The sequence below is a fragment of the Homo sapiens genome, chromosome 2 (genome assembly GCF_000001405.40).
Source record: "Homo sapiens chromosome 2, GRCh38.p14 Primary Assembly".
NCBI lineage: Eukaryota > Metazoa > Chordata > Mammalia > Primates > Hominidae > Homo > Homo sapiens.
Window position 1 is genome coordinate 3,056,144 of NC_000002.12, and position 26,668 is coordinate 3,082,811.

The following is a 26,668-nucleotide window of genomic DNA, read 5'->3' on the forward strand; positions in this document are numbered from 1 at the left end:
CAGGTGCCTGTAGTCCCAGCTACTCGGGAGGCTGAGGCAGGAGAATGGTGTGAACCCAGAAGGTGGAGCTTGCAGTGAGCCGAGATTGTGCCACTGAACTCCAGCCTGGGCGACAGAGCGAGACTCTGTCTCAAAAAAAAAAAAAAAAAGAAAAAGAAAAGAAAAGAAAATGTGGTACATATAAATGATGGAATACTATGCAGCCATAAAAAAGGAATAAGATCATGTCCTTTGCAGGGACATGGATGGAACTGGAGACCATTATCCTTAGCAAACTAACTCAGGAACAGAAAACTAAGTGCTGCATCTTCTCACTTATAAGTGGGAGTTAAATGATGAGAACACATGGACACATGGTGGGGAACAATACATACTGGGGCCTGTCAGAGGGTGGGAGGAGGAAGAGGATTGGGAAAAATAACTAATGGTTACTAGGCTTAGTACCTGGGTGAAGAAATGGTCTGTACAACAAACCCCCATGGTACAAGTTTACCTGTGGAACAAACCTGCACTTGTACCCCTGAACTTAAAAGTTTTTTAAAAGGCAACAGAAGCAGAAAGAAAAAAAAAAGAAATGCCAAAGCCATAGAAAAACATAAAAATAAAAATAAACAATCATTTATTCTTGTTCACAGGTCTAGTGCCTGCAGGGCAGGTGCACTGCTCTTGGCTGGATTTGCCCATGCACCCGAGATTACCATCCTGGGCCTGGATGGAGGACTCAGCTCTCCTCCCCTTGCCTCTCAATTCCCTCAGCAGGCAGGGGTTCAGAGGAAGAGGCAGAAATGCACGAGCACCTTTTCCATCCTCGGTGGACATCAAGATTATCTCTGTCCCATCAGCAAAGCAAGTCCTGTGGCCACACTCAGTGTCAGAGTAGGACAAAGTTGCCCAAGGACAGAGTTTCAGGACGGTTTGGGAAATGGGGAGCATCCTTCTGCATCATGGAGGCAGAAGTGATGAAGATGAGTCCTGTGTGCCTTTCCCACTGGGCCGTCAAGCGCTCAGAACTCTGAGAGTGAAAGATATGAGGGGAACGGACACCTCTGAAGAGAAGGAAGCAGAGGGATTGTGCAAAGAAGGGAAGTTGCACAGAGAAGACAAATACAGCTGTTTCCTCCTTGTCTGGGACTTTGTTTCACTAGCTGTAGCAAAGGGGTTATGTACGCCTAGCCTGCCTTTTAATGATAAGGTGTTATTATACAAATGAAACGCCAGTGTGTGCACAGCTATACCAGATGCTTTAAGAAAACACATTCTAGAGTCAGGGTGCTGGGTTTAAATCTCAGCTCCACCAGTTGCTGGCTTAGAGACTTTGGCCAATTTATTTAAACTTCCCTGTATTTCATATTCCTCATCTGTTAAATGGCAGTAAGACTCTACCTACCTCAAAGGTTATAGCAAAGGTGAAAGATTACATGAAACGTGCTTACCACAGTGTCTGCCACAGAGTAAGGGGTCAATAAGTGTCAGTATTGTTACTAGTGTCCTGATGGAGAAGATGGTGATGATAATGATGGTGGTGGTGGTGGTGGTGATAATGATGATGAAGACAAGGATTATGATGATGGTGGTGATGGTGACAGCAAAGATAATGGTGGTGGTGGTGGTGGTGATGGTGATAATGATGATGAAGACAAGGATTATGATGATGGTGGTGATGGTGACAGCAAAGATAATGGTGGTGGTGGTGGTGGTGATGGTGATAATGGTAGTGGTGATGGCGATGATGATGGTGGTGGTGGTGGTGATGGTGATGGTGATAATGATGATGAAGACAAGGATTATGATAATGGTGGTGATGGTGATGGCAAAGATGATGGTGGTGGTGGTGGTGGTGGTGGTGGTGGTGGTGGTGGTGGTGATGGTGGTGATGGTGGTGGTATTGATGTTATCATGTCATTCTTCCCACTTCCTTACCCCTCACTTCTACTTTTGAAAATTCTGTTTATAGTAACTCCAATTTTTAGAATGTTGCAATGAGTTTTCTAAAAAGAATGTATATGCACACCTCTCTATTCTCAACAGGAGTGCAACACCACTAATTAATGGGCAAGGGATTCAAAAATACTCATCATTTCATCCAGTGAAAAAGATATTAAATGTTAAAGTATATCATCTCAGCAGAGAGGCTCACCCAGCAATCTCAAATTAAAGAGATGGGGCTTGAAAGATATAAAATGACAGGCTTTCTGATTTTGAACATGGTGAATTATTGTTAGTGATAATCATGTATAGATTTGAAGCCTCTAAAATGGAAAATATAAATTATATTACCCATGATCACAAACAATAGGAGAACTTTTATGAGCATTTTACACAGTTGCCTTCCTTTTAATGTAAGATAACAGGCAGGGTTCTCCTATCTCGACACAGAGCTTGACAAATATGACACACACTTGGAAGAAATTCACGTTTCTGACAACTTTCTATTGTTAATGGTTTAGTTTCTATGGAATATTTAAAGCCAGTAACTAGTATTTTACTTTGTTACTTTTTTTTTTTTTTTTTTTTTTTTTAGAGTTTCACTCTTGTTGCCCAGGCTGGAGTGCAATGACACGATCTTGGCTCACTGCAACCTCCGCTTCCCAGGTTCAAGTGATTCTCCTGCCTCAGCCTCCCGAGTAGATGGGATTACAGGCACCCCCCACCACACCTGGCTAATTTTTGTATTTTTAGTAGAGACAGGGTTTCATCATATTGGTCAGGCTGGTCTCGAACTCCTGACCTCAAGTGATCTGCCCGCCCTGGCCTCCCAAAGTGCTGGGATTACAGGCGTGAACCACTGCACCTGGCTTACTTTGTTACTTCTATACAGTAACAAAGTTTATATCAGAAAACTTGTTTCAGGGAGGAAAATTGCATATTATCGTATCTGAATCAGCCAGACCATTGGTAGTCTATTAAAACCTGCAGTTCTAACAGTGCTGATCACATTGGGTGCAGAAGCATCTAAATGCTTAATCGTGGGACCTACCCTGGCTCTGAAAAGAAGCAAAATTTGGTATTGGCATCTCCTCAACCCTGAGCATTCATTCAACAAATCTTTCCTGGGTACAGATTCAGGAGCCAGACTTCAGTCTTTCCTGGGAGGGCCCAGATGAGAAACGCTCAGCTCCGCCTTCAGGAAAGTCCCACTCAGAGAAGAAAGCAGGCAGCCCAGGCGACAGCAGCAAGCGGGGGCCACGTGGGTGCGGAACGGTCCGTGGAAGCGTGCGTGCAGGCCCCTGCACCCTGCAAGAAGCCCTTTCGAGCCAGGAATCCTGCCTGACTTCATACCCCCTACAGTACCCAGCGCGCCCTCAACACAGAACAGAGTGCGGCTCAAAGACCCGGAGGGAAATGGAAAAATTATCTGGCAAATCTAGCCCCAGAGAAAGAACACTATTTCCTCACCAACCTCCTAAATCTATGTTCTCAAAGGAGTAAAAATAAGCCTCTCCCAGAAACAAACAGACGAGACCACCACCGCCTGGAACGCTGTTAATCGTGCCGGTCAGGATCTCAGCGGAAAACGCATGGCACCTGCCACCGTGCATCAGAGGCACTGTTCACAACGGCGTGGACAGAGTGCAAGGAACAAAGCAGGATGATGAGGCCCCGGGGGCCGGCAGCAGCGGTCCAGGCTTACAGGGCAAGGGGAGAGGCCGTGACCGGGGAGAAGGCCTTGGCCCTCCCGCTCCGTGGGGCAGCCCGGCTGGAAGGAGCTGGGAGCATACATGCCCACCCCATCTCCGCCTTCTCGGCACCCTCCGCGGAGGCCAAGGGGCCAGACAGATGCCATCCATTGAGATCAGCCTCCCCGGCACCCAGCGGAGTGAGGAGCTACACAGCAGACCCCAGGGGGAAAGGGAGAAGGTTCTGCCCATTCATAAATTAGGAGTTCTCAAAATTTAGTTTCTACTATATGCCAAATACCAGGCGTGGTGGTGGAAGCATGAAAAGTGCCCGGAGACTTTGCAGCCTTGAGGAGCCCACAGCCCGGGCGTGAGGATTTGGCTGTGGGTCAGGCGATGCTCAAGTTCTCCCCATCGGCTCCTGGGCTGTCATCGGTGGGAGCGTGGGTGAGGATGGAGCGCAGGTTACTCAAACCAGTGTCATCAATCACGTCTCTCCCTCCGTGAACCAGCCAGGCCTGTGTTCAGCTGCTATTTATCTTCCTCGCCTTGAGACAGTGGGGTGTTGCCGGACGTTTTCTTGCGGTGTGGGTGTGTTTCGTGGGGGAGATAACAATGAATATCCAGAGAGTTGAATTATTTTCTACAAATAATTTACAGGCATCCTCTGATCTGGTAGCTTTATTGACTTGACATCTATTTGCTAAAATATTTAAATGGGCCAAAGATGAGCAGCGGAAACGCATCTTTGGATCTGTGGCTTTGATCTCCTGCATGCTTTCTTAACACCAGTTGGAGAAAGGATTCTTTTTTTTTTTTTTTCATTTTTTTTAAGGAAAGAAAACAAAATATTAAAAATGCAGTAAGCAGACAGAGGGAGGTGAGGGGGTGAGTGAGGGAAAGGCGAGAGCTGACACTCTGGGCTCAGAAGGCGGCACGGTCCATTTCCAGGCCCCTATGGGAGAAGGAGGGCGAACCGGATTCACGGTTAAATCAATCTAAAGAAGGATGAGAATCAATTGAGAATCGGCTTTTATCTTTTCCCAAATAACTGCTCCAGAGAGAAAATCTTCACTCAAAATGGCCTCAGTGCTCCTGGGCGCTCCCCGGCCTGCCTCACCTGAGCTCCTGTCTACTCTCTGTAGGCAATGGGGCCTGCAATGCGGAATCCCAGAAAAGAGGATAAAGAAATAAAATGTGGCTCATGAAAAAGGAATATACGAGGTCCCATGATGGTGGCCCCTGGTAATGCAATATGGGAAAGGAAAGAATAATTGGTTTAGAGAAAGGCACCTTTTGTTCAACATTTTTATATTAGCCCAAACTCTTATATTAGTTAACTATAAGCACAATTGAATCCCACGACAAACAAGCCATTTGTCACTATAGGGATAATTTTTCTTGGGGACACGGAAAGCAATTTTAAAAAGTAATAAAGTATTTAAAGGGGAATTGTCAGGTCAGAAATTAGACTTTTTAAAAAAGTCTCTATTTCTTTATTCTACTTTAAAGTACCGAGTCCGCATAAAAATAGCAGTTTGTCTACATTTCTGTTTTAGAAATGTTTCCACTTCTCCTGTTGTGGTCAGGAAACCTCTGTCCTTGAGAAGAGACTAGAAATGGACGCACTGACCAGGCCCTGTCCTGTTGACACCTGCCAGCCAGCATAGGGACCACAGACCCACCTGAGGACAGCTGAGGAAGCCTCCTTCAGGACAGCCACCCGACCGAGGCTGGCGAGACTTCCCAGGCCTTCCCCACCCACAAGTCCAGCATATGTCACAGATGTTCATCAGGATCCTCCATTGTAAATGACAGAAATGCAACTTGAACCGCTGTCAGCAAATGAAGAAGAATTGTGTTGGTTCCTGTAACCAAACTGCTGAAAAGGTAGAAAGGTTGAACCAAGCTCCACCACTGACAAAGGTCAAGGTCAAGGTCAGGCCTGTGACCTTGGGCAAGTTAGCTGAATTTCTCTAGGTCTAGATCCCAAATCTACAAAAAATATAGACAGCCCTGTTGGGAGAATCAAGTGAAAAACTACAGAGCTGTCCTATAAACCATACAGTGCTTCACAACATAAAACCTTACATCATTTATGCATTATGACAATTACTTTCATAAACATAAATCACTGGCAAGGGGGACAAACTACATCAAATACATTTGAGTGCCTACTCAGTGCAGAGGGAACAGACTTAGAGCACAGTAAGGAGGGAACGGACTGAGGAGTCGAGCGGACCTCGCCCCGTGCCTGACCAAGGCGTGTTGTTGCTGCAAACTGGGGCAAGCTTCTTAATCCCTCTGAGCCTCCATTTCCTTCTCGGTGAGGTAGGAATAATAATATTTCTCCTGTAGGGTCACTGGGAGGGTAAACTGAGATGGTGCGTAAGGTGGTAGCTGACGTTACTACTGAGAAATATTTCAGGCTCAGTCTTGAATTCAATCATGTGGCTTTGAGCCAATGTCTTCCGTCCTCTGCTCTCCTGCAAAATTTGGCTCCTATGTGATAATACAGGTGACATTCCCAGTGCAGAGCAGGCATTTGTCAAGCGAGGTCTCCCCCTTCCTCTGGAGAGCCACGTTTTCAAGTCTCTCTGTGGTGTCCAGAAATGCCCTGGGATGCACAGAGAGAAGCTGGGTCTGCCCCGGCTCTGTTTCCACCAGCCGAAAGCACCCTCAGGATGGCGTTTAAGATCCCGAGCCCCAGGCTCTGCATCTCCCAGGTGGATGGAGTTGGAGGATGTGCGTGCTGCAGAATCTTCTGGCTTGGAAGAGCCTCTGGTTCTGTGCACTCAGGCTGGAGATGTGTAGGAGCAATCACTACTTGTTCTTCCATCACCTGTACCCCTTTGGAAGATGAAGATCACAGGCTGTCTGTGAAATCCAGAAATCACCTCCCTGCAGCACACTCAGGGGAGCATTCTCCCAGAACCACCACAGGGGGAGGCATCCTCATTATCAGGCCCACACTGCACCTGAACCTCCGAGAATGGGGAGATTAAAGGCAGATGCAACCAATCATGTAGGCGTCTAAGTCAGCTTATGGGGAACGTGAGGTGATCTGAGACCCATGACAGCCCCTGCATGCTTTAGAAAGACAGCTGGAGATGGCACTGCAAATCCCAAGCCTCTCCACCAGCCTCCAGCCCTAAGTCCTAGACAACTCTTTTCACAGCTGACCCATCCACAGGGCCCATTAACAAGGGTTAACGTGCACGCTGGGACCTTGGGTCCCCAAAGTCGAGTGTCCTGAGAAGGCCACACAGACCTCAAGGAGAGGGCCAGGTGGGGCCAGAGGCTGACTCAGCCAGGACACCACCCCTGCGGCCGACAGAGACAGGGCGGTCAAGCAGGGAACCGGCTCTGTTGAGCCTCTGAGAGGGGTGAGGCCCTGGAAAGGACTTGCCACATGCGAGACGTTGGAATCCTGCATCCTCCCCAGGCGTAAGCGTCACTAACCCTCCTTTTTTTTGAGGCAGGATCTCACTCTGTTGCCCGGGCTGGAGTGCAGTGGTGCCATCTCGGCTCACTGCAACCTCCACCTTCTGGGTTCAAGCAATTCTCCCACCTCAGCCTCCCAAGTAGCTAGGACTGCAGGCATGCACCACCATGCCTGGCTAATTTTTATATTTTTTGGTAGAGACAGGGTTTCACCATGTTGGCCAGGCTGGACTTGAACTCCTGACCTCAGGTGATCTGCCTGCCTCAGCCTCCCAAAGTGCTAGGATTACAGGCGTGAGCCACCATGCCTGGCCACTGCTCCCATTTTAAAGACAAGGAGGCTAAGACTCAGGTGACTTGTCTGGGGTCACAATCAGCGGGTAAAGCGAGCCAAGGCTTGAACTCATGCCAAAGTCTGCCTCCAATTCAAGTTAATCCCCACTAAACCGCTCGCCAATAGGACCGAGTGCTTGAATTTAACCTACTTCCTGGGATACCACTTTCTAATTAGAGATTCCTAAAAATTTCCAAAGAACTGTAGGTGCCTGCAGCAAATTGTAGTCATCTCCCTATAAAAACATCCTGATGGCCGGGCGCGGTGGCTCATGCCTATAATCCCAGCAGTTTGGGAGGCCAAGGCAGGTGGATCATGAGGTCGGGAGATTGAGACCATCCTGGCTAACATGGTGAAACCCCGTCTCTACTAAAAATACAAAAAATTTGCCGGGCGTGGTGGCAGTTGCCTGTAGTCCCAGCTACTCAGGAAGCTGAGGCAGGAGAATGGCGTTAACCTGGGAGGCTTGCAGTGAGCTGAGATTGCACCACTGCACTCCAGGCTGGGTGACAGAGCGAGACTCTGTCTCAAAAAAAAAAAAAAAAAAAAAAAAAAAAAACCTCAAACAAACAAAAAAACACAACATCCTGATGAGTCGTCAGCCCCGTCGATCAGGAGCAGAAACTGGGCTTCGTAGGTCAGGGGGCTCTTCTGACCACAGGGTGCCCCAGATGTCATAAAGCTGAACGGACGCAGCGTGACAGCGAGAGGAGGAGTGCGCAGATGTGGACTTCATTCCCACAGTCACAGGTGGTGGCTTCAGGTAAGACGCTGACCTGCCCTGAGCTCTGTCCCAGCTCCACTCACCATGCCAGGTGTCCCTGGGAGCCAGGCAGTGGTGCAACCCACTGTACAGACAACCAGAGGGGAGTTGTTTATTAGGCACATTATGATGGTAAAATTTTATTATAAATTCAATTATCCTGGCCAATGAATACATGTAGTTCCAAATACATTATTCCCATTTTATGGAATGGGATGGAAAGAGACTGAGTTTGGTTCAGTTGCTCAAGGTCACAGTGCCGCTTAATGTGAGAACCAGAAATTTCCAAGACTTTGGTCCAGAATGCAAGGTGTTTCCTACTTTGGGCCTGGTCTGGCTCTTGGGCTGAACTCACTGGGTAACTCCTCTCGTCCCTCCACTCAGCCAGACTGGTCCAGCCATTACCCCCACCATGCCCCAGGCTCCTTGCCCCAGGTAGCCCAGTCATCTAGAAAGACACACCTCTACTCACCACCGCCTCCCCCAGAATAGACCACCCATCCATGAGGACCCTGACAAATGCCCCTACCTTCACAAAGCGAGGCTGGTAAACTCCTAGTGAGCCATCTTGAGGTGTCTTCACTAGCTTCAAACTCCTGGGTGTTCACATGCATGTCACCTCCTTGGGTGTCAGTCTTTGGGCTCGAGTCCTCCAAAACATCGTGTATGCCACACACACCTTGCCCTTGACAGTTGCCCCATACATACCAAGGAGGTAATGAACAGATCAGAGAAAGCCCAAGTATGTGTGTTCAGTTCAACTGAGAATGTCTGACAACCTATACATCAACCAGCCTACATAGTACAACAGTGAGATGAGCCTGAAACAGAAAATTAAAAAGAAGAGCTGATTATATTAAGAAAATAGTTTTTAAAATACTGTGAGACAATAACAAAGACATGGAATCAACCCAATGCCCATCAATGGTAGACTGCATAATGAAAATGCGGTACATATACACCATGGAATACTATGCAGCCATAAAGAGGAACAAGATCATGTTCTTTGCAGGGACATGGATGGTGCTGGAAGCATCCTCAGCAAACTAATGCAGGAACAGAAAATCAAACACCGAATATTCTCACTTATAAGTGGGAGCAAGCAGAAGATGAGAACACATGGACACATGGGGAAGAACTACATACACCAGGGCCTGTTGGTGGGGCCTGGGGGGAGGGAGAATAGCTAATGGGTGCTGGGCTTAATACCTAGGTGATGGGATGATCTGTGCAGCAAATCACCATGGCACATGTTTACCTACGGAACAAACCTGCACACCCTGCACCTGTACCCAGAACTCAAAAGTTGAAGAAAGAAAAAAATACTGTGAGAACAAAATACGCATTATTTTTTCTATTTTGCTAACTCCAAATGTTTTTATCTTGTGTCTGGAGTCGGGGAGGTGTGCACATGCATAACAAAAAGGCTGGAAATGCCAACCCCAAAATCTTCCTAGTGGGGACTGCTAATTGCTAGGCAGTTGAATTATGGTTTATCTCTGTGTTCTTCCGTTTCCTTGCCTATATTTTCTATATACTCTGTAAAGGTGTGTATTACTTTTGCAATTAAACCAATTTTTAAAGAGCTTATTCTACTAAGTTTTTAGCTTTAAAAAAGGTGGAAAGAACGGAGGAAAAGGAACAGTGCATGACCAAAGCATTTTCCCCAGGCTCTCAAGATTTCTCTGCATTTGGCCAAGCCGAGCTTGGGAATGGCAGGCTGGCTGATCAGAAAATAGCCATCCATTCTCACTCGGAACCCTCCCTGTAAACACCATCCAGGGACAGCATCACCAGGGAAGCTGTGTCCTCAGACTTTCCGCTGTCTCTCTATGGTGTCCTCACCTCTAGCTGCAAAGGAAAATATGCATGACACAGCCTTGCTGATTTAACCACAGCACCACCGCTGTGGGACTTGAAAGCTCTCATCAATAAGCCTAATTTTTAATTCTTGAAAGCCTGGCATTCATCCTTGAAATGAATAGACATTTTCTTCCCATTTCCTCCAAAAAGACCTCTCTAAGCTTAGTGCTACCTACACTAAAAAAGAACATAAATAATAAAAGTTGAACATTCTCCCAGTGTAGGGTCATTCACTGCAATATAACAGGGTGGTTAAAAGCATACATTTTGGAATCAGGAAGACCCGGGCTCCCCACTGACCAGATATACTGGATTGTAGACAATTGACTGAATCCCTGTACACCTCAGTTTCCACCTCTGTCAAATGAGTCCGACCTCATAGGGTTGTCGGATGCAATGAGATAATACAGGAGAGCCCATAGCTCAGTGCCCGCGTGAAAAACCATTCAATCCTCACTAACTACATGGCAGCCGTGGCTTCCTTACAAAACACCTGGCTTTGTTCTCCCAATGTGTGTAAGACTGATGCTTCATCGGCTCTGTATTTTGGTAGTGCTTCAAAAGGCAATTCCAAATTGTAAAGGAAACTGCAGAAACACTCCCACAGCCTCAGGTCTCAGGTCCCTCAGTCAAGGAGAGCCTGCAGTCGGTGAGAAATTTTCCCCATGGTAAATATTTAAATGAATAACCACTTTCCAGCCACTCTTGGGAAAGAAATAATTTAAGAAAAGTCTTCAAGGAATTTGCTCTAAATGAAAAGGCGCTTTTCCCCAGCCACATATCTCTGTGAGTGTTGACAGCCCCTGATGGGGCCACTAATAACCAAGCACAGAGGGTTGGCACCAGGATATGATTCAATTTAGGCCAAACTTACTCCCCGCGCTAAGGGACCCTTCTTTCCCTTAGAGCAATCACTGGCCCGCTGAACAGAGAGAAAACAACCCCATCTTTTCAGTGCCTGCGATGATAACACATCCGTGGTTTAGGACTTCTAGGCCGAACACCATGAGAAAGAATTTGCAACTTCTAGGGGGCTGTTTTCCATACACAGGTGTAGATCAGAATGAAGAAGATGATAGAATTTCTGCAGATCATGATCATTATTACTCAGATTCCCAGAATCTGTAGAATAACTGGATTTTTTATTCCCAAGAAGACTCTTGGAGGAAGCTTTCCACTCAGTCATCAGTGAGCACTCATGAGCGCCTGCCGTGTGCCAGGCAGCGCTGCTGGGGTATGCTCTCCAGGCTTCCTCATTTACCCTACGTCAGCTTCTGAGCCAGCTATTACTGTCTCCATCTCATAGCTGGGGGCACTGAGGCTCAGATGGGGTCAAGATTGTTTGAGTCCCTCAAGGGAGCAGTGCTAGACTTACGGACATCTCTGTTCCCACAAATCTGAATGGGTGTGAGCTGAAATATGCATGATGAGTAAATAGCACACTTGTCCTCAAGTCGCTCGACTAGCAAGGGTTTGAATCCAAGCCTGTACCCACAAGCTCCGGCCTTCCCACCACAACACGTGCAGCCTCTTCAGCTGTACAAGGGAGGAGTGGTCAGGGCGCTGCTCCCTCTTGTTCCTGGCCGGCTTTGCCAAAGTGGACCAGAAGCTCAACAAACTGAGAACTGATGTGGATTAAGCAAAAATTGAGACTGTGTAAACATCCATTGTAGACTGAAGAGGACCAGTAAAGATTTTTTTTAATTGATAGAAAGGGAGTGAGCACACAGGAGATTAAAATAGGATGGTGCCTCCATGACCACATAGTCCAGCCTCCACCATGCAGGTGAGGACTGTCATCCCCAGGAGGGGCATGGTTTGCTCTACGCAGGTTGCTCAGCCTTGGCACGTTTGGCTTCCTGGGTCAGGTCACTCTTTGTTGTGGGGGCACTTTCCTCTACATTGTGGGAGGCTTAATAGCATCCCTGACCTCTGACCACAGGTGATGGCAAAATCTCCCCCAGTTGAGAACCACTGGATTAACATAACACAGCTACTTAAAGATAGAGCTAACACCAGAAAGCAGCTTCTCCAGCCACCAGTCTGGAATGTTATTAATCAAAATAGGGTTGGTCCAGAATATATAAAGAACTCCTGCAACTCAACAATAATCCATTTTTTTTAATGGGCAAAGGACTTGAATAGACATTTCTCCAAAGAAGATATACAAATGTCCATAAGAACATGCAAAGATGCTCAACCTCCCTAATTATTAGGGAAGTGCAAATCAAAACCACAATGAGATACCACCTCATACCCACTAGGATGGCTATTTCCAAAAAACAAAAAGAAGAAAGAAAGAGAAGAAGGAAGGAAAGAAAGAAAAGAAAGGAAGGAAGGAGAGGAGAGGAGAGGAGAGGAGAGGAGGGGGGGAGGGGAGGGGAGGGGAGGGGAGGGGAGGGGAGAGGAGAGGAGAGGAGAGGAGAGGAGAGGAGAGGAGAGGAGAGAAGAGAAGAGAAGAGAAGAGAAGAGAAGAGAAGAGAAGAGAAGAGAAGAGAAGAGAAGAGAAGAGAAGAGTTGGAGGGAATGTGGAGAAATGGGAACCCTGTGCTCTGTTGCTGCAAATGAACATACAATGGTGTAGCTGCCATGAAAGCAGTATGGCGGTACCTTAACAAAATAAAAATAGAATTACCATATGATCCAGCAATTTCACTGTGAGGTATATGCTCAAAAGAATTGAAAGCAGGGGCTCACAGAGATATTTGTGCACCCATGTTCACAGGAGCATTATTCACAAGTAGCCCAAAGGTGGAAGCAACTCAAATGTCTAACGACAGATGAACAAACAAAATGTACTATATACATACACTGAAATATTATTCAGCCTTAAAAAAAAGACTGAAATTCTGACATGCTGCAATATGGATCATCCTTGAGGACATTATGTTAAGTGAAATAATCCAGTCACAAAAAGACAAATGCTATATGATTTCACCTATCTGAGGTCCCTAGAGTAGTCAGATCCATAGACCCAGCGAGTAGAATGGGGGGTTGCCAGGAGGCTGGGGGAAGCGGAGGGTGGACAGTTACAGTTTAATTTTGTTTGGCAAGAGAAAAAGAGCTCTGGAGATGGATGATGATGATGGTTGCACAAAGTGAATATTCTTTATATCACCGAACTCTATGTTTAAAAATGATTGCGATGGTACAGTTTATGTTGTATCTTACCATAATTAAAATAAAATAGAAAGCAGGATGGGAAGTGACATCTCAAGGGCAGAAAGCTGCTTTGCTGCCCTTCCCCGTCCTTGGGTGCCCCACGGGACCTGGAAGGGCATCCTCTCCACGGAACTTCCCTGCAACTCCCCCGTGCCCATATCCCTCCCTTATGACTCCTTCACTATTTCCTGTAAAGCTTTGAGCAGAAACACCAGTGATGTGCTTAGGTAACCATGGATCTTCAAAGCTCAGTGGTTAATTTAGGGGTGATTTTGTAAATTTTGAGTATCAAAGGGCAAGACAAAGCCCTTGGACAAGAAAAATTTAAAACAAAATGCAAGAAAGAGAAAAGAAAACCTCTTTTCCTGAGCCTGTGGTCTCTGGGTTTTCAAGATGATAGAAGCAGAAATGGCAGAGGAATTGATATGCTATTTTAATATTTTTGTTTGTATCTTTTTGAAAATGTCTCTGGTTTGAGTTACCTTTATTTTGTTCCAGAACTTCAGCCAGTTCCCATGAAATGAACTGAGTTCCTGGTTCTGAAAGCATGAGCCCTGGCCAGACATGGGCATCATGTGGGGACCCCTCAGAAATGCAAATTCCCACTTCGGTGGAATCTTTAGAAAGTCAAACTCATGGATATAGGGAGTAGAATGATGGTTCCCAGAGGCTGGTGACTATGATCAATAATAATGTATTGTGTACTTCAAAATAACTAAGGAAGTAAATGTTAAATGTCTCACCACAAAAAATGAGTGAGGTGATGAATATGTTAGATAGCTTGATTCAATCATTCATATGGTTTACATAACTCAAAACACCACATTTTACCCCATAAATGTAAAAAAAAAAAAAAAAAAAAGAGAGAGAGAGGAATTTAAAAATGAAAAAGAAATGTCAATTCTCAAGCATGATGGTTGACCTATTAAATCAGAATCTTTAGGAGTGGAACCCAGAAATTTCAATTTCAACAAGATTTCCCACAGATTCTGAAGCACCCTAGACTTTGAGAACGACTAAACTGCATCTGCCTTACGAGCTACAAAATTGTCTAAGATTCTTCCAACCAAACAGGTCCTTATTTTTCTCTAAGTTGACACAAAGAGCCCTAAATGCTTAAAAAAAGTGGGGAGGACCATGAAATGCCTGGCAGTTATAATAAATCCCATGATTAATTGTTATTCCAGATGTTTGCTCGCATCCTCTAACTCACAAAGGTGGACCTCCCGAGATTCCTAGCACAATCAGGACGTGACGTTGGCTGATGGATGAAATAAGATGTCCTCTCCTGCTCTCCAGGAAAACTGCATTTACTTATTCCCCCTCTGAATGTCAGAAGAACACAAGTTCAAGTAGCCACAGCCTAAGCCACTTCACAGGAGCCCAGATTCATTTCACTTCCAAGCTCTTGCTGCTTCCCAGCCGTCACAGGTTGTGCACGCCTGGAACACACGTCAACAAATAGTAACCACGGCCTCCATGCAGGAAGGCCTTGAGTCCCGCGGCTCCTCGGCCCACATCATCCCCGTCAGGGTCCATCTATTCCGGGGACCTCTGTGGATTCAGAGTTGCCGTGGCATTGGGGATAGAAATCCAGACTGAGACTGAAGCACCTATTCCTGGAGTGCTCGGCTCCAGCAATGCTGTTGGGGGAAAGGATGGCCTTGGTCTTCAGTAAATTAGAGGAATTCCACGTCTCAATTCAAGGAGTGGGTACTTTCAGCCACCTTTTCAGAAGCACTTTTACCCCTTCTAATAATGTCTGTATGTCCACCTGCCCCATGCCATGGGTTCAGCAGACACTGACTCCACTCCCAGCTCCTGAGAGGTCAAAGCCGATGGAAGTAACCCCACTCCCCTTGCCTGGTGTTAGTCCAGGAGGGGGCCTGGTGGTCCATGGGAGGTGGTCCAGCGCCACCTGGGGCAGCAGGCTCTCATCGCTGGAGACAGATAAGAGGTGCTGTTGCTGTGGGCTGCATCCTGCCACCCTAGGGAGGCCCCACTGAGGACTGTGCTGTGCTGGTGGCATCACAGTGGAGAGGGAGAAAGAATCAGGGTTCTCTAGGAGCCCGAACCTCACCCCACCTCTGGACTTCCCCTTCCACACCCAACACGTGTCTTTGGTGTTGAACAAGCTCAAGCCCGTTTAGCTCCAGCTTCCTGTTACCTGGGGCACGAAGCACCCACCTCCATGTTCTAACCTAGCCGCCTCTTTGGTCTGCTGGGCCCACCTGTCCTCCAAATGATAATGAAGCACTGTTTTTTCTAGATCTCACAGATTCGATCTTTCTCAGCCATACTTTGGAAAAAATCTGCCAGTTTTCTATTCCAGCCAGTCCTGGAGTGGGTAGAACCCAGGGAATGTGGCTCCAGAATCTGTACCTGGAACCATGACATCATGCACCAGAATTAAGAGGCAGTTTGAACCAGAGCGGCCAACTCCTCCCTTTCCAAACCCTGATCTACACTGCTTGGGAGGGATCTTCAAAGCATAAGCCCAGCCGCCCCCACTTTCCCCATCGTATGTCACCCGCCGGCACTTTCTAGTTCCTCTCCTCCCCAGGCTGTTTGCGGCCCCTTGGAGGGTGCAGGCAGCATCTTATTTGTTGCTGTGTCTCCCAGGTTGTGGTTTGGCATCAAGAAGGCACGGAAGAAATATTTATTCAAATGAATGACTGGATGACAAAGACAACACAGAAAGGGGCTCAGAGACTGCAGCACACGGATGATGAATTACAGGCATAAAAAGAGGGAGGCCACAGAACACGGTGTGGACCGTGGAGCTGCCTGCCTGGGTCTGGATGCCACTATTTACTGGCCATGTAACCTTGAGAAAACCCCAGAACTATGATTCCTCTTGTTTATCTGCAAAATGGGGGCATTAAAACCCACCTCTCAGAGCTGAGAGGAGAACAAATTAGCTAATCCACAGTAGAAAACTTAGAACAATGCCAGGCCCAGAGGACACACTGAGCACACATGAGCTTCAAGTCAGAGGAAGGTGGGTGGGAGAGGGGCAGAGAGAGAGAGAGAGAAAGACAGGAAGAAAGAGGGAGAGAGAGGCAGGAAAAGAGGGTATGGATTCCTCATGGTTTTTGTTCTTTCTCTAAAGTTATGGCTTTTAAAATATCATTGATAAACACTTAAATATGTCTTGAGGTCTTTCTCTATTAAGAAATTCTATGACCTTGAAACTGAAGGCTTTGAAACACCAAAACACAAAAGTTGATGGAAGATGTTATTATTTGACAAAGGTAACCTCAGTTTGAGTGTAATACAATTTCAATCCTTCAGGGAAGGGTCTGGGCTGGAGGAACCCCAGGGCCTGCCTGCTTTTTCCTTGCTGGCTTAGGCATTGCACTGTGGGGTGCAAGCTGAAAGGAAGGGTATTGACTGAAGACCTATTGATGAACTCCCAGACATTCTGCAATCCACAGCAAAGCAAGATTGCTGCAAAATCGATCCCCAACCCTGGGGGCCAAAGAGAGGCCGCTGGAGGGAGCTTGTTTTCTTATGTGTTTTTAATTATTGTTTAACTCAGAGAGGGAACTAGATTACTATAAACATTTTCTCAAAGAAGAGACAAAATCTAATCACTGCAAATAACCCGACGATTCTACAGAGAGCAGTCTGAAATATGAGTCAAGTCACCTGGGAAAGGCCCCTCTGCCTGACCCTCGATACCCCTATTAGAGCGTTCAGCAGAGATGGGCAGAACATTTCAGCTTTGGATATTGTCAAGCCACAGCCATTTATACCACACAGGATTAATTCCTTTCTGGACCACACAGACATCATTGATTTTGCAGAGGCAGAAAAGCAAAACCTCAGCAAAACAAAGAACTCCATCCCTTTAATGTCTTCTCATTAAACATCATGGATTTTACCCACACAACAGACAGGAAAAGGCAGTCTTTCATCCAAAATACCGAGGAATGCCAGCTACATACAGAGCAGAAACCCTCTTCACGTGACACACACTTAGCCTTCCAGAACGCAGTGGCCCGGTGTCAGCAGCTCCTGCTGCACCTGCCAACCTCGACGGTCCCCAGGCACAGCGACCCACCGCGGGTAGAGAAACGTCAGGGAGCTGCCCACACGGGTGTCTGTGCAGATGCTCAGAACACAGCCTGCACAGTCTCAGGGGGCGCTCAATGCCACCAGCCAGTAAAACAAATCCATACTTCAACTATGTTATCAACCCTTTCGCTTAACAAAATTTCATATAACCTGTCCTGTACAAGACACTGTGCTAGTGTTCTGGGAAAAATAACTCCCCCACTTCAAAGAGTTTATGGCCACAAATTCAAAAGCAATAAGGCAAGTATGAATAACACATGTTAGCAGTCAAGTAGGACAAGAAATTAAGAAATGCCAAGAAATTTAGAAATTCAAAAGGACACAAGGAGGAGCAGACAAAACGTTGTGGGATCTGTTAATGCTGGAAGGCACATCCTGCGGTCCAGCACACGGATGCCGCGGATCAGGAATGCGGCTCCGCCTCCTGGAAAGCACGAGATCCCCAAGCTTCAGGTCTTTCACCCACAGGGAGAGAAAAACAAGAGTCTCAACTATACAGAGAGCCCTGAGGCGGAATGCAGCCGCATCCGTAAAGTGTGTTAGTGCATCCCCGGGCACAGCAAATGCTAATAAATGCCCATTGCTGTCGTGTTACTACTGTCCTACCTGCTGAGATCCAGGTATCCTCCTGAAGGAAGCGGTGTTGGATCTAGGCCACATTGCTGTCTTGTTACTAATGTCCTACCTGGTGACATCCAGGTGTCCTCCTTGAAGGAGGTGGCATTGGATCTAGGCCGCATTGCTATTTTGTTACTACTGTCCTACCTGGTGATATCCAGGTGGCCTCCTTGAAGGAAGTGGCGTTGGATCTAGCCCTTGAAGGCCAAGTAGGCTTCAAGGGCTACTTCAGTGGGAAGGGATGCCCAGGACACAGGAGCTTGGAGGCGAGAAACATCCCATGTTGAGGGCAGGTGCTCTGTGTTCAAATAACAGGAGCCGGGTTGCAAAGGTGAGGCAATCCCCATGCAGCTAAAACCAGAGAGTTCCCCTTGCAGGATGTACGATAGGGGTGTCACCTGTTTGGTCGCCCCGCAGCTCAAACCCCTCAGGGGAGCATGCAGACGGGCAGGTGCAGAGGCCGGGAAAAGAACTTTTGGGCTCCAGCTCCACAGCAGCATTTGAGATGGATGTCTGCAACCCCCAAAGCCCACATGGGTGTGTGTTACCAAACTCTTTTAGATTTGCCATCTGCAGATGGCTTGTGTGTTAATGAGCACAATGGACCCTCTGCCTTATTGCAAGGGCAGGGGGCTAGTGTGACAGCGTTCTGTATTCCGAGTTCTTGCCCAGTGTACCAGAAGATTCAGATCACTTGTGGCCGTAAAGGATGAGTGCAAGGTTTTATTGAGTGGAGGAGGTGGCTCTCAGCGAGATGGATGGGGAGCTGGAAGGAGGTGATGGAGGGGAAGGAGGTCTTCCCCTGGAACCGGGCTGTCCAGTGCTGGACTTTTCTCTAGCCACCTCTGGCTGAACTCCCCTCAGCCTCCAGGTGTCCCTCCGCTTTTCTCTTTCTCTGCCTTGTTGTTCTGCCTTCACTGGTCTGCTGGTCCTGATGTTCAGCCACTTGCATGTGTGCCCTTGGGTTTATACGGGGACAGGATATGGGGCATAGCAGACCAGAAGGCAACTTTTTAGGTGCAAAAACAGAAATGCCTGTCCTCATTTAGGTCCTCAGGTCTTCAGGCTTGAGGGTGAGGCCTTTGCCAGGGAACCTCGGTCTTCTACCCAGTGCCTCCCTGTTTCCCTTCCGTATCACAGTGAGGGGCCAACATTTCACATAACCCAAATGAAGAATTGCGTGTCTTCTCCGTTCTGGAGGGCATAGGGGGTGCTTGGGGACAGGGCCGTCTCCTAAGTGAGCAGACATCCCCTGTAAGAACTGTGGATTTGGAGGACGCTGTTAGGACCCAGAGTGGGAGCAGAGAGATGGGGTGGTCTGGGGAGACATTCAAGAGCTCACCTGGGGACCCTAAAGGTGACTCAGGTCAGCCTCTGCCTGCAGGTCTCTCAGTGTGGTCAGGAAGGAGAGACCTGAATGAAACCCTGCTGCTGACCACACCAGGCTGTGAGCGCGGGAACCATCCCAGACCAGCGCACGGAACATCAGCATGGTGGGGCTCTGTGCTCCAGAAGAATCAGTCAGAGGGCTCTGAGGCCCGCCCCCGTGGAAACGGCCCCACTGCACGCCCCAGAGAGATGATGAGGGGCTTTCTGTGGTTGTTCTTGTTATTCTTCTCTTCTCTTTTTTTTTTTTTTTTTTTGTAACATCAGACAGGTAATGTGATGTTGTAACAAGGCTTGAGAGAGGCATATCTCACACATGAGCATGAAAACCCAATCATCACGCTTATGAATCACAAAAGGATCTTAACCTACTTATCTAAGGGAGACCCCCACTCCCTACAGATTTGGAGCCAGAGAAACTGAACTCAAGTGCCAGAGCCACTCCTCCCCAGCTGTGAGACTTGGCTCCAATCGTGTACACCCTGGGTCTCAGATTTGGGGAACAGTGCATCCCCTCTCTCATTTTATAAATGAAGACAGTGAGGCAGCGCTTGGACTAGAAAACTGATGTTCTGACCTGGGATCTTCAAGATTAAAATAACTCATCTCCTCTTTCACTCCAGAGAAGGTGCAAACCTAGGTACATGGGCTCAGGTCAAGGCAAAGCTTGTCACCACCCATGGACAGAGAGAATGAGGAGGCCAAGATGGGTGGATGGGTGGGGCCCAGTGGAAGCCAGGCAGCTTCCCCACCTCTGATCCAGTGTTCATGGTTGCCATGTCTTCCGGGGAAGTGAATTTCAAGAATGAGCAGCACATTCCTCCTGAAACAGAAAGACACATGCCTGGCAGCGTTAAACCGCAGTGGGTTTCAGATTTTCCCATCACGGGATCCCCCACAGTCCTGCCCCTTTCCATTAAGGAGCATAATCAGGAGGGTCCCTCATTTTAGTGCAGATAATCACAAAGTCACAGATAACTGACAAATCAAGTAGTATGCAAATCAAGTGCTAATTCCAAGCAATTAAAAACTGAGTCACAGCTAAACTGCAGTTAATTTGAAATTTTTTTTTTATATAATGCAAAACACATTGAGCAGAGACAAGACACAATGACCAAAGAAATTATCCATGTTACTCTGAACAGGCAGAAAAGTGGGTGTGGCTACACACACCTTTCAATCAATACTTGGCATCCAGGAAATGAAGTCGTTGCATGTCCTGTCTCCTGCTGGATATAAATGCCAAATGGTGGAGGGACAGTGAAGGAGAGGCAGGCAATGTGCTCCCACGCCCCTCCGGAGGGCTCCGCAAGACTTAAAGCATCAGGTTAAAGGCAGACAGCAAGTTCCCTTGCAGGCAAAAAGGCAACACCAGAATGGAGAAAGGGGGTTTCCCCAAATCCTGGTATCAAGACAATTGGCCAGGCTGCTATGCCAGGAACAGAGACCCTCAAGGGAAGAAGGAATCCTCCTTCTTGCAGCTTCAATGACCCAGCAACAAAGTACACAAGCCCTTTTGGACGTGCTTCTTAGCCTGCCCAGAAAGACAATAGATTGCAGGGACAGGAAGGAAGGAGGTTGACCCACACGCCCTTGCCCAGACAATAGCCAGGCGCACCTCCGGCTGCCCGCACCAGGGCCAGAGTGCTGCCAACAGCCAAAGGAGACAGATGCAGGGACCCCGCGAGCATCCAGGCGGGAGCGCCTTCCTCCTGCCTAGGCTACTTTTCAAACCCCTGTGCTTTTTATGGTTCCTTTTCACTGTGGGTGGAATGAGCCACGGAGGTCAATGCCACACACGCACACACAAAAGCTTCAGAGAGGACAAAGAGACTTCAATGTCATTCTCTGCACAGGGACAGAAAGACATATGGCCTTTCTGTGACAGGCCGCGGGCAATTGGAGCTCAAGATGCAGGTGGCAGAGGAGAGGCTATCACTGAAGAATAAATCTGAGAGAGCTGCAAAGTAATCACTTTGGATTAAGGCCACTTTTCCAGGGCCAGGAGGAACAAAGGCTACTTCCCAAAGCCTGTAGAATGAATATCCATTGTTTTTCATGACGAGAGAAGCCTCTCGGAGGGAGGAAGCAGGCTGTGCGCACATGGTCACCAGGCAGCAGGGCTGGCTGTCCCCGCCATCCCTGCGACCTCCCTGCTGTCTACTCAGGCATGGGCCCCCCAGGTCCCTGCACACAGGCGCCTGCCCTCCCCCGCAATGGTAGGCCGGGCCCCCTGAGCACCTCGCAGAGACACACTCGCCCAGAGCCATGAAGCAAGAGGAAGAGGAAAACCAGCCAGAAAGTGTCCCCTCAACCTGCTTTTACTGCTCACTGGGGCAAGCAACCCCCAGCCTAGAGTGTTTTCTTCATGTTTTGTTTTTTGTAAAATCACCATGACGTATTTTCAAATAAGAGATTGTTTCAGCTTGGTGCACAAGCCGCTGTCTCCAATGGGGACTGAAGGAACCCTCACCCAGGCAGGACTGAACCCCCTCCTGTATCTGGGAATCCCGTATCTGGAGAGAGAGAGTATGGCCACAGCCTCAGGCCTACCCACGAATCCCTTGTTACCTGGTCACCATCAGAACAAATCCCCACCTTCTGCAGGCTGTAGTCACACCCCAAAACCTCCTTCATTGAATCCCCCAAATCAGAATAAGCCCCTCCCTCCAAAGTCATTGTAAGGGAGCCCTGAGTTTGATCGTTCGGGGAGAACCAGACCTTTCCGGGGGCAGTGGAAGGGGGCCCAGGGCTCAGCGTTTGCAATTCACTGCACTGAACACCAAGAAAATAGTGACTTTTCACAGCAGGCAGTTTTGAGATAATAGAAACGTAGTCCTTTCAGGACCAAAACCTTTCTGTAGAACCATATTTCTGAAAACGTTTTTGCGTTTAGATTCGTGTTCTCTGCCTCCTTAAACGGAGCATAGGAAATGCAGCCTTGTCCTCTCCAGCTCTCTCCAGTGATCACTATGAGTGGAGTCTCACCCGATTCCTTCTCTTTGGGGGCCTGGTTTTCTCACTTGTGAATGGAGAAGGTGATCCCACCTTTCGGTTGTTGTGGTTACAATCAGAAACTAAACGGCGAGATGGTGCACGTTAAGCCACCGTGTGTGTGCCCATCCTAAACAAACTCGGGGTCCCCATCTCCTCCCCCAGGCCTTTCTGCCCCCCCAAACACCACCTCCCACACCTGGGGAGGGAGGAGCTACAAATAAGCCTGGGTTCTTCTCCTCCAGGTTAAATGGTATCAAATTGATACAGTTTTGGTAGTTCTTCCAAATGGCGCCTCTATGTCAGAGGGTCTGAAATTCCTTCTTCCTTCCATAAACATCCCTACTTGGAACCAGTGTGTTCTTTTTGTAGCTTTCCGCATTGCACTTGGACCTCCTACCACAGCCATCCCACTAACAAGGCCTTAGTGTGTGCTCAAGTCTCCTTCACAGGCCGCTAGATGGCCAGAATTCTTTAACCAGAGCCGTAAGATCAGATGACTCTCAGCACTCCAGACTGTGAAATTCAAGAGGAATGACTCAATCTATATCTCATTTAGCTTGTAGGTCTCCAAGGACTCACTGGGACTACAATTACACCTGGGAGGCAGGGCAGCTCAGGGAAGCAAAAAGCAAAGTCTGAATATTTCATCTCACCTCCCCCAGATGTCCCTGGACATTTCTGCTTAGTCCGGATTTGGGACAAACACTTTCCTTGTAGGTATCTATCTTGCTCTCACCCTTTCCATTCATAAAGTCTACATATCTAGTCAATGAGAATTATTCATCAGATACAGTGTGTTCCACAAGGGACCAAGTTTTAACCCTTGGCATAGGGAATTACAGGTAAGATGTAGAAAGAGAAATAAAAATGATGACCCCCCTGAAAATAGGGGATGCAGGCTTGAATAGAAAGGAGCTATACTTTTTACTCTTCAAATATCAGATTGATTTTTTTTTACTTTGAGCATGTTTTACTTTTTATTAAAAATAAATAAATTCCTGTGCCCCATAATCCAAACATACACTGCTAGTTGTCCTGTGTAGGTACTCAGAAGTGTTCCCCCAAAATATACACAAAAAAGAAAGATGTGTATTGCAACATTTTTTGAAATAGCAAAAAACTGAAACAAGCGAAGTGTTCACACAAAGAGGACAGGGGAAATAAGTCAGGTCCCCCAAAGGTGATGAAATTCTACTTCACTAGGAGTAAAAAGGGTTGGGGGGTCAGTGTGGAAACCAATGATGGTGAAACTCTACAGTCATTAGAAGTAAAAAGTGGGGGTCAGTGTGGAAACTCATGATGGTGAAATGCTACAGTCATTAGAGGTGAAAGGGGTGGGGGGTCAGTGCGGAAACTGATGATGGTGAAACTCTACAGTCATTAGAAGTAAAAGGGAAGGGTCAGTGTGGAAAGATTCTCAGGACAATTTAAGTAGAAAAAGAGGCAAGAGAGGCACTGAGAGTGCTGTAGATTATCTTTTTGGTTTAAATATTTTTTAAAAGTTAAATATTCGGGGAAGAATTGCAGAAACTGCTGACAGTAAGTGCCTTTGGTGAGAGGACTTGGGGAAAGGGGGCTTTTACTATTTATTCTGGGTCATCCCCAATACTTGAATATTCTACCTTTATACCAATATATTGGGAAGAAAAATGGCACATTATATGACTCAGATGCAACACCTCCAAAAAGTTAGCCTACTCCTTATGGTTTCATCCTGATGAGTTTGGGGGTGGAGAGAGGGAGGACGTGTGACTCTGAGGCCTCACCTTCTCTTCCAGGAGACTAACTCAGTCTCTTTGAGGAAAATTCTCACCATTTCATGTTTCTCCCCAGTGTGGCATCTCAGTCTCTGGGGAGCTCCACGGTATTGAGGGTGGAGATGGGCTTGGGCCCATGTGGCCCTCGGGACCCTTTTGGTCTCACCCGGTTGGCTGTTGGTCAGCCCCAACCTGGAGCGGCATCAGTCAGGCACATGATGTTGAACCACCGTCCAGGCTACCTGCCCCCTTTTCCTAACCCCAGGACTTGGCAGTTCCATGGGCCCGCTCAAGTGCCCCCAGGTGGCCTCACCGGGGTGTGTGGGACATGCCAGATTGACGCAGGATGCCCCCCACTCCTGCCAGGGAGCCAGCGACCCTGTGTCTTACGGCATGTCTGAGCACCCCCTCCACAGGGCAGCTCTCTGCCTCACCACCCCACTGGAGTCAATGCGGGGCTCCTCACACAGGCCCTCAGTTTACCCTGGTGGGTGCTGAAGGAGGCCGACCTCTACCTCTAATATCCTGGGATGCCCAGTGCCTCTCTGGGTATTGCACAACCACCTCCTGTGGCTCAGAAGCAGAGGAGCTGCAGAAGCAGCGTGGATACAGAACCACACAGCCTCCACCTCCACCTCTTCTGCTCTCTCAGATTCCCATGGAAGCTGCTCTATTTCCACTTCTGCCTGAGGGAAGGGCAGGGAGGGGAAATACATGTGGCAGGTTCAGGGGACAACCAGGTGACATATGACTCTGACCAAAATCTTAACCATGCAAAAGACCCAGACCAGAGGATGCATTGTTTTACATACACTCGTATGTGTGTATGTGTGTGTGTGTCACATGTAGCTCTGTGTATCCACAACCACAATACAGAACAGTTCCATCGTCACAGGCTCCTCCTCCCCATACCCCGGTCCCTGGCAAGAACTTACCTGTTTTCCATGTCTACAATTTGTCATGTCAAGAATGTTATATAAATCAAACCATAGAGTATGTAAACTTTTGAGGTTTGCTTTTTCCACTCAGCATAGCTCCCTGAGATCCACCCAACTTGTTGTATGTATCGATAATTCATTCCTTATTGCTGAGTAGTATTCCATGGTCGGCATGTACCACTTAGTTTAACCATGCACCCATGAAGAACATTAGGGTTTTTCCCAGTCTATTACAAGTAAAGCTGCTATGAACATTCATGCACAGATTTTGGCGTGAACATACGTTTTCATATCTCTGGGATAAATCCTCATGAATGTCATTACTATGTCACACAGTAGTTAGTTGCATGTTTTGTTTTTTAAGAAACCATCAAACTCTTTTCCAGGGTGGCTGCACCATTTTACATTCTCACCAGCAATGTATGAGTGATCCAGTGTCTCTGTATCCTGACCAGCCATTGGTACGGTCAGCTTTTTATTTCACACATTCTGATAGGAGTGCAGTGGTGTCTCATTGTGGTTTAATTTGCATTCTTCTCATGGCTAATATGTTGAACATCTTTTTATGAACTTGTTTGCCATCTCTTTAACCTCTTTAATGAGGTGTCTGTTCATGTCTTTTGTTTATTCTCTAATTGGATTGGTTGTTTTTAATGTTGCTTTGTTTTCTACTGATCTTTATATATTTTAGATACATCCTTTCTCAGATGTGTGGTTTGCAAATATTTCCTTCTAGTCTTTCACTTGTTTTCTACGCTCTTAACAGAGAAAATTTTAAGTTTTCATGAAGTCCAACTTATCCTTTTTTTTCCTTTGTGGTTTGTACTTTTGGTGTCTAAAAACTTTTCACTTAGCCTTAGGTCCTGAAATTTTCTGTTGTTGTCTAAAAAAATTGTAGTTCTACATTTTACATTTATCCATTTTGAGTTAATTTTTATGTAATATATCAGTCTTTGGTCAGATTTCTTTTTTTAACATATGTCCAGTTTCTCCAATACCATTTATTAAAAAGGCTATCTTTCTTGCATTGAAATGCTTTTGCACCTTTGTCAAAAATCATCTGCCACCAAAATTGGCAGACTAGGTAAATCCAAGACTCCATCCCTCCACCACAGCAGTGACTGAACTGGCAAAAACAGTCAGAATTGACTTTTTTGGAACTCTGGAATCTAATAAAAAAACAACCTGAAGGAACTTCTTTATTAATGAGGCAAGGGGCTCCTAGATTTCAATAAGAGATCCCCGTGATTTTAGTTACCTGCTCACCATCCCCTCCCCTTGGGCTCAGTGGCAGCTCTGAAGGTGGTGGCCCACATGCCAGGTGCATGTTTCTGCCACCAGAGGGTCCAATATGGACTTTGCTCCCAAGGAATTATGGTTATATGTCACCTTTCTGGTGGCTCCCTAAAGGATCAACTCAAGGGTTTGCCTCAATTGCCTTAAAGCTTTTCCAAGGCTGAACTGGTTTCTTGGGTGATATTTGTCTAAAGTATTTAAAGGCAAATTTACTAGCCACAGCCACAAGAGGAAATGGATAGGCGTCAGAGAAAGCAATAGACACACCAAAAACAAAAGAGAAAAGATGCTGGGAAAGGAGATACACGATGGAATGGGAACCAAGACAGCCACATGCACAAAGGTGAACATGTCCTCATAAGAACTTGAGGAGACCCTAAGCTTCCACCTCTGCCTGATGCTTAGGCTCTGTG

The 26,668-nt window shown here is 47.1% G+C and overlaps 1 long non-coding RNA gene and 1 other non-coding gene across 2 annotated transcripts in view, besides 1 other annotated feature; both read right to left on the minus strand.

Annotated features, from left to right (window-relative positions):
• LINC01250 (long intergenic non-protein coding RNA 1250) overlaps positions 1 to 26,668 on the minus strand; it is a 230,979-nt gene that overhangs the window by 161,096 nt on the left and 43,215 nt on the right. The gene's annotated exons all lie outside the window — the stretch shown is intronic.
• Positions 6,928 to 7,428: an enhancer, noted in NCBI's record as "H3K4me1 hESC enhancer chr2:3066843-3067343 (GRCh37/hg19 assembly coordinates)". NCBI's record gives its function as "activates a minimal SCP1, AML or CMV promoter by ChIP-STARR-seq in primed H9 embryonic stem cells {active_cell/tissue: H9 hESC(primed)}" and the evidence as "EXISTENCE:reporter gene assay evidence [ECO:0000049][PMID:30033119]".
• On the minus strand, positions 19,529 to 19,629 carry LOC124906153 (small nucleolar RNA U13). The gene has a single exon (XR_007088742.1). It is a non-coding gene; the product is annotated as a small nucleolar RNA U13 (small nucleolar RNA).